Below are 6,419 nucleotides of genomic sequence, written 5' to 3' on the forward strand. Positions count from 1 at the left end.
CTCCTGACCTCGTGATCTGCCCTCCTCGGCCTCCCAAAGTGCTGGGATTACAGGCTTGAGCCACTGTGCCCAGCCCATCCCTGAAGTTTTTTAGGAGTAGAGAAATAAAGTTAAACTTTTACTTAGTCCCTCTGTTTTTCAAGATATTCCCAATAGCCGCACCTGGTATCCCCCATCCAGACACCGTCCGTTTTGCCCTCTCCAAGAATAGAAGCTTCCTGTCCTTAGTAGGTTGGGCAGGGCAGCGGCTAAGGCTACTCAGAGCTGGGGCGAGATTCCAGGGGTTCAGGAGCTCCTCAGACAGATTTTTGGCTAATTCTTCTGCATACTACCTTGCCTTTCTCCCCTTCCAGAGGGTCCTGAGCCTTCTGAGGACACTTCAGGACTACAGATAGGAGCATTTCAGGGCCTTCCTCACTGCTGGAGTGGGATTCCATTCCTGAGATCAACTAGGTTGACTGTGATTTATCTTTCACTCTGTTGCCCAGGCTGGAGTACAGTGGTGTGATCACGGTTCACCGCAGCCTCGACCTCCTGGGCCCAGGTGATCCTCCCACCTCAGCCTCCGCATAGCTGGGACCACAGGCACGCACCACCATGCCCGGTTAATTTATTTTTATATTTTGTAGAGGTGGGGGTCTCCTTATGTTGCCCAGGCTGGTCTCGAACTCCTGGGCTCAAGCAGTCCTCCCACCTTGGCCTTTCAGAGTACTGGGATTACAGGCATGAGGCACTGCGCCTCACCTCTTTTAGGTTTAATTTTTAAAAATCCTTTTCCTTGGAAAGAAATGGAAGTAAATGTACTTAAATCTGCCATTTTAACCAGAAGACTCCCAAAACTTTTTAAATGCTACTTTGCAAGATAACTTTCTAAAATATAACATGCAGGGCTGGGCACAGTGGCTCACACCTACAATCCCAGCACTTTGGGAGGCCAAGGTGGGTGGATCACTTGAAGCCAAGAGTTCAAGACCTGCATGGCCAACATGGCAAAACCCTATCTCTACTAAAATTACAAAAATTAGCCGGGCATGATGGCACACACCTGTAATCCCAGCTACTCGGGAGGCAGAGGCAGGAGAATCACTTGAACCCAGGAGGTGGAGGTTGCAGTGAGCCAAGATCACACCACTGCACTCCAGCCTGGGCAACAGAGCCAGACTCCGTCTCAAAAAAATAAAAATAAAATATGCATATCTGTGCCCTCCTAGTCTTAAACAGCTACTGAATTATGCTGTAATAAATGGGCTTTCCAGTGCTAATTATTTCTGCCTCTATACCAAAGTGGCCACAGGCCATGCTTCTCTTGGCTTCTGGGCTCTCTTCTGCCTTCCCTTATGACTCCCTGGGATTTACGCTTTCCATGCTGCTGTTTTTCGAGAGAAACAAATCACGTGTTGAAGTCCTGGCTAAGGAGCCGTCAGCTCCCAGCAGTTATTGGGACTCTGAGAACCGTGGTTGTCAGCTGTGAGGTGCAGGTTCCTTGTTCTCAGAAGCGTTCTAGCTGGCGGGAGCTGGACAGGTTTCCTCTGGAACACAATTTTACCTGGTTTCACATCTGACTGGCAGGAAAAAGGGAAGCAGGGCAAGTGAGGTTAGGGCTACCCGGGACAGACGGGGATGGACGGAGCCATGTCGTCAGCGCCCAGTGGAGTTCTGACTGTAAAGGAACACACCGGTACGCCCTCCTTGTGAAGGATGCTATCCCTTCCCCACCACCGGTGATTTTGTCTCTGGGATAAATGTGAATTTTCACACCTGTTCTCTTAGGGTAGGAGTCAGCAAACTATGGCTCACAGGCCACATCCAGCCTGCTGCCTGTTTTTTAGGGCCATGAGCTAAGAACTAAGAATGGCTTTTATATTTGTAATTGGTTGGGAAAAAAAAATCAAAAGGATATATATATATATATATATATATTTTTTTTTTTTTTTTTTTTTTTTTTGAGACGGAGTCTCGCTCTGTCGCCCAGGCTGGAGTGCAGTGGCTCGATCTCTGCTCATTGCAAGCTCCGCCTCCCGGGTTCACGCCATTCTCCTGCCTCAGCCTCCTGAGTAGCTGGGACTACAGGCGCCCGCCACCACGCCCGGCTAATTTTTTGTATTTTTAGTAGAGATGAGGTTTCAGCATGTTAGCCAAGATGGTCTCGATCTCCTGACCTCATGATCCGCCCGCCTCGGCCTCCCAAAGTGCTGGGATTACAGGCGTGAGCCACTGCGCCCGGCCTCAAAAGGATATTTTGTGGCACATGAAAATTGTGTGAGATTCACTTCAGCACTCAGAAAATATTATTGGAACATTAGCCACACCTGTTTTTTTATGTAGTCTGGGGCTGCTTTCACACCACAGTGGCAGAGTTGAATACTTGAAACAGAGATGCTAGAATCCACAAAACCAGCTGGGTGCAGTGGCTCACACCTATAATCCCAGAGCTTTGGGAGGCCGAGGCAGGAGGATTGCTTGAGACTAGGAGTTCGAGACCAGGCTGGAAAACATAGTGAGACCATGTCTTTACAAAAAATTTTGAAAGTTAGCCAAGCATGGTGGCGTGCACCTGTAGTCCCAACTACTCAGGAGGCTGAAGCGGGAGGATCACTTGACCCCAGGAGTTCCGAGGCTGCGGTGAACTGATTGCCGCACTGCACTCGAGCTTGGGTAATAGGGCAGGACCCTGACTCAAAAAACAAACACAAAGGCCAGGCACAGTGGCTCACACCCGTAATCCTAGCACTTTGGGAGGCCGAGGTGGGCAGATCACCTGAGGTCAGGAGTTTGAGACCAGCCTGGCCCACATGGTGAAACCCCGTCTCTACTGAAAATACAAAAAATTTGCTGTGCGTGGTGGTGCACACCTGTAATTCCAGCTACTCGGGAGGCTGAGGCAGGAGAATTGCTTGAACCCGGGTGGCAGAGGTTGCAGTGAGCCGAGATTGTGCCACTGCACTCTAACCCGGGTGACAGTGCAAGACTCCATCTCAAAAAAAAAAAAAAAAAATTCACAAAGCCTAAAAAGTTTACTATCTGCCTCTTTAAAGAAAAAGTCTGCTCACTGCTGTCTCAGAGGATCAGGCCTTCCCTGCGAGTGTTCTGTAGTTAGGGATGACTGCCGGCCAGGGGGTCAGCCAGGTCAGTGTAGTGATGTCTGCAGAGACATTTACACCCAGAGACACAGATGGAAAACAAATGGCTAGACTGGTCAAATGGGAGGGGTCTTTGTTTTATGGAATAAAACAAAGTTCCTTTTCAGTTCCTTCAGCGTATGAGCAAAACCCATGTGATGTTTTCTCTCCCTTCATTCTGGGACTGCAAGCATTGAGGCCAGACAGGGTTCATTCCGAGCAGCGAAGGGAGTGTCGACAGACGGGAGCGTACAGTGGAAAGAATCCCATCCTTGCCTTCCCCTTCCCTTCCTCCCTGGTCTTCCTCTTCTGCTTCTCCAGCCCCCGTCCTGTGCCTGGCTTTATGCTAGGTCCAGGAGATCCACCGGGGAGCTGAAGCCACTGGCACTGGTCCTTAGCTCTGGAGTTGACGGATCTTGTGTCACACCTTTTGCAGATGAAAATGCTGACTCTCCAGAACCCATTTATCCAGGGCTGCCAGGTGGCAGGTTCGAGATGAGGGACCCCTCTCTGCCAGCCCTGAGAACTACTTCCTCACTCATGTGTTTCTACCTTGTGGCTTTGGGGTGTGCTGGCCCAGAGGTTCATGGATGGGGCTTGAGCCCGTGGTCAGCCACATTGGTTCCCAGAAGCAGGGACGGCAGAGGCATGGACAGCGCTGACCCAGAGTGCTCGGACCCGTCCTGGCAAAGCCATCTGGGCCTGAGGTTAAGGTTCAGCCCTGCCCTTTCATGTGATGGGACCAAGGCAGGGAAGGGGCTGAGCAGACTCGGGGCGGGGCCAGTGGCCAGTGCCCAGCATCACTCCAGACCCTGGCCATCGGTGGCAGGCTCACGTGGACAGAGTGCTCTGGAAAAGCCCTGGTTTTAGGATCAGAAACGTTGAATTTAGCACTTTCCTCAGGGCCTCTCATTCTTCCTTTTCCCATAAAAAAGAGACAGCTAAGTGACAGTGGAGGAAACCACCTCACACACTCTGAGCTTGAACTCAGAAGGTTCTCTGATAAAAGGGGATGAGAAAGGGGCAGGTGCCCTCCGGTAGCAGTAAATCTACTTTTTCCCTGTCTTTGTAGGGCTGACAAGTCCACCCCACTGACCAACAAAGGCCAACCGAGAGGACCTGGTAATTATTTAATTTGGGACTGAGTTTGTTTCTGCTTGGTCCATGGGGGCAATGTGGGGGATGTTTCCTGCCAGGTGGTCAGGACTGAGGGAGGGCCCAGCTGTCTGCCATTCCACAGCCCTCCTGCCCCCTCCCCTCCTGCCCCCTCCCCTCCTGCCCCCTCCCCTCCTGCCCCCTTCCCCTCCTGCCCTCTTCCTCTCCTTCCTTCCCTCCTTCCTTCCTTCCTCCCCCACTCCTGCCTTCCTCTGCTCCCTTCTCCTCCTCTCCCCCTCCCTCCCCCATCTCATGCCTTCCTCCCCCGCCACCTGCCTTCCTCCACCCCTCCCTTCCCCTCCCCTCCTCTCACCCTCCTCCCTGCCTTCCTCCTCCCTCCTCCCTCCTGCCATCCTCCCTCCTCCCTCGGCCTCTGAGACCCCTGCTCCTGAGCAGCTCAGTCCTGGGGCCCCTCACCTGTCCCCTCCTGCTGACATGGCAGGCTCACTGGGGGACACTCGCTGCCACACAAGCTCTCCAAGGTCTGCATCCAAGTCAGAAGGTTCCCTTTCCCCTCAACAGATCGGAACACCTGGGGAAACCTGCTTTCAGACACACCCTGTGGCTTGTACATTGTTTACATCTCATGGCTGTGATTGATGGGATGTCTTAAGCTGCTTCATTTTTGCCCTACAGTGGATCTCTCTGCAACGGAAGCTCTGGGTCCTCTGTCCAATGCTATGGTCCTGCAGCCCCCTGCACCCATGCCTAGGAAGTCGCAGGCAGTAAGTGACGAGCCCCCTTTCCTGCCTCTCTGCTCTAGCCAGGGGGGTGCAGGTGGTTTCACAAGGGCTCAGGGGAAGCAAGTCTTCCCCTCTTCCCCTGGCTGGGGCAGGGCGGGGCTCTTCTTGGTACCTGACTGCTTGGATCTGGGCAGCTGGTGGGTTTGGCCCTCCTGCCGCAGCTCCACAATGGGCCCACTCAGAGTACCCTGCCCCGGCCGCTTCGTTTCCCAGCCCTTGGCCCCTTCTCTCTGCTTGGTGGGGAGCTCTTCCCTTTTCTCTCCCTGGCTCCTGAGCTGCACTGACCTGCCCCACCTTGGCATCTGCAGGCTTCTCAGGCCTAGGTACGGGACTCCTGAGACCGGGGAAGGCAGGGTGCTTGAGCTCTCTGCCCTGAGAGCTGAGGCCTGCAGCCACACTAACCGTTGTTCCCTCTCCTGACCCAGACCAAGTTGAAGCCTAAGCGGGTGAAAGCGCTCTATAACTGTGTGGCTGACAACCCCGATGAGCTCACCTTCTCCGAGGGGGATGTGATCATCGTGGACGGGGAGGAGGACCAGGAGTGGTGGGTGAGTCAAGGGTGGGCCTGGGAGGTTCCTGGGGGCTGAGCCACGTCCCTGCCCACCTGGCTGGAGAGACGGGCTTGCAGGTGAGGTTTTCTCAGCCTGAGCAGTCCAGATGTAGTTCCTGGTGCCTCCGCCCCTTAGCATCCTCAGGAGCTGCTTCCTCCATGGACACCCCCTTCTGAGCAGGCCTGATTATTCCCCAGGGTGGCTTCCTCCCCTGTTAGGGTGCAGTTTCCACAGCACTCATGAGGGCCTGAAATGACACTCCTTCATTTTGAGGTCTTGAGTTTCTAGGTCATCACCCCCCATTGCTGGATTAGTGGAATCGGGTGTCTGGAGAGAGCTGACCTAGAGCGCAGAGCCCCAGGCCTGAGTCTGGTCCTGAAACAAGCTGTGGCCGCCCAGGCGTCCAGCAGGGTGTGGGAGCAAGATGAGTGCCGGCCACCTAAGAATTCAGACTTGGCCACTCAGGGGCTGGTGGCTTGGGGCAGGTTGCTTTTATCTTTAAGCATTAGTGGGATCATCTGTGACAGGGAGGTCACACACACACAGTCTGGTGCAGGTGATCTTGTGAGCACCCACTAAGCGGCAGCTGCAGACAGTGAGGGCGGTGGATGAACCGGCTTGAATGGGGCGTGGACAGAAAGCCCCAGGCTGAGCCCACCACACAGTAGACGCAAGTGGCACAGCTCCGCAACTGAGCTCAGAGCAGACAGTTCAGCTGGGAACTCACAGGATTTAGGGGAACTTCTTTGTCGAGTGCGAGGAGTTTGGACACTGTCTTTAGTCACTGTCCCTCCCAGAACTCCCACTAGTGTTTAAACTGCATGTCTTCAGCCTCCAGAGGCGCTGTGAGC

General features: G+C 53.7%; 1 protein-coding gene across 20 annotated transcripts in view, besides 1 other annotated feature; it reads left to right on the forward strand.

The window, feature by feature from the left end:
• The window catches only part of ASAP2 (ArfGAP with SH3 domain, ankyrin repeat and PH domain 2), a 198,867-nt gene that overhangs the window by 189,020 nt on the left and 3,428 nt on the right, over nt 1-6,419 (forward strand). For all 20 annotated transcript variants that reach the window (XM_011510403.4, XM_011510407.3, XM_011510404.3 and 17 more), the window contains 3 exons: nt 4,192-4,241; nt 4,911-4,999; nt 5,443-5,565. In XM_011510403.4, the coding sequence (XP_011508705.1) occupies nt 4,192-4,241; nt 4,911-4,999; nt 5,443-5,565 (262 nt within the window). The remainder of the gene's footprint in view (nt 1-4,191; nt 4,242-4,910; nt 5,000-5,442; nt 5,566-6,419) is intronic.
• Nucleotides 4,713-5,276: an enhancer, noted in NCBI's record as "H3K27ac-H3K4me1 hESC enhancer chr2:9540673-9541236 (GRCh37/hg19 assembly coordinates)". NCBI's record gives its function as "activates a minimal SCP1, AML or CMV promoter by ChIP-STARR-seq in naive H9 embryonic stem cells {active_cell/tissue: H9 hESC(naive)}" and the evidence as "EXISTENCE:reporter gene assay evidence [ECO:0000049][PMID:30033119]".

Source organism: Homo sapiens, chromosome 2 (genome assembly GCF_000001405.40).
Source record: "Homo sapiens chromosome 2, GRCh38.p14 Primary Assembly".
NCBI classification, from domain to species: Eukaryota; Metazoa; Chordata; class Mammalia; order Primates; family Hominidae; genus Homo; species Homo sapiens.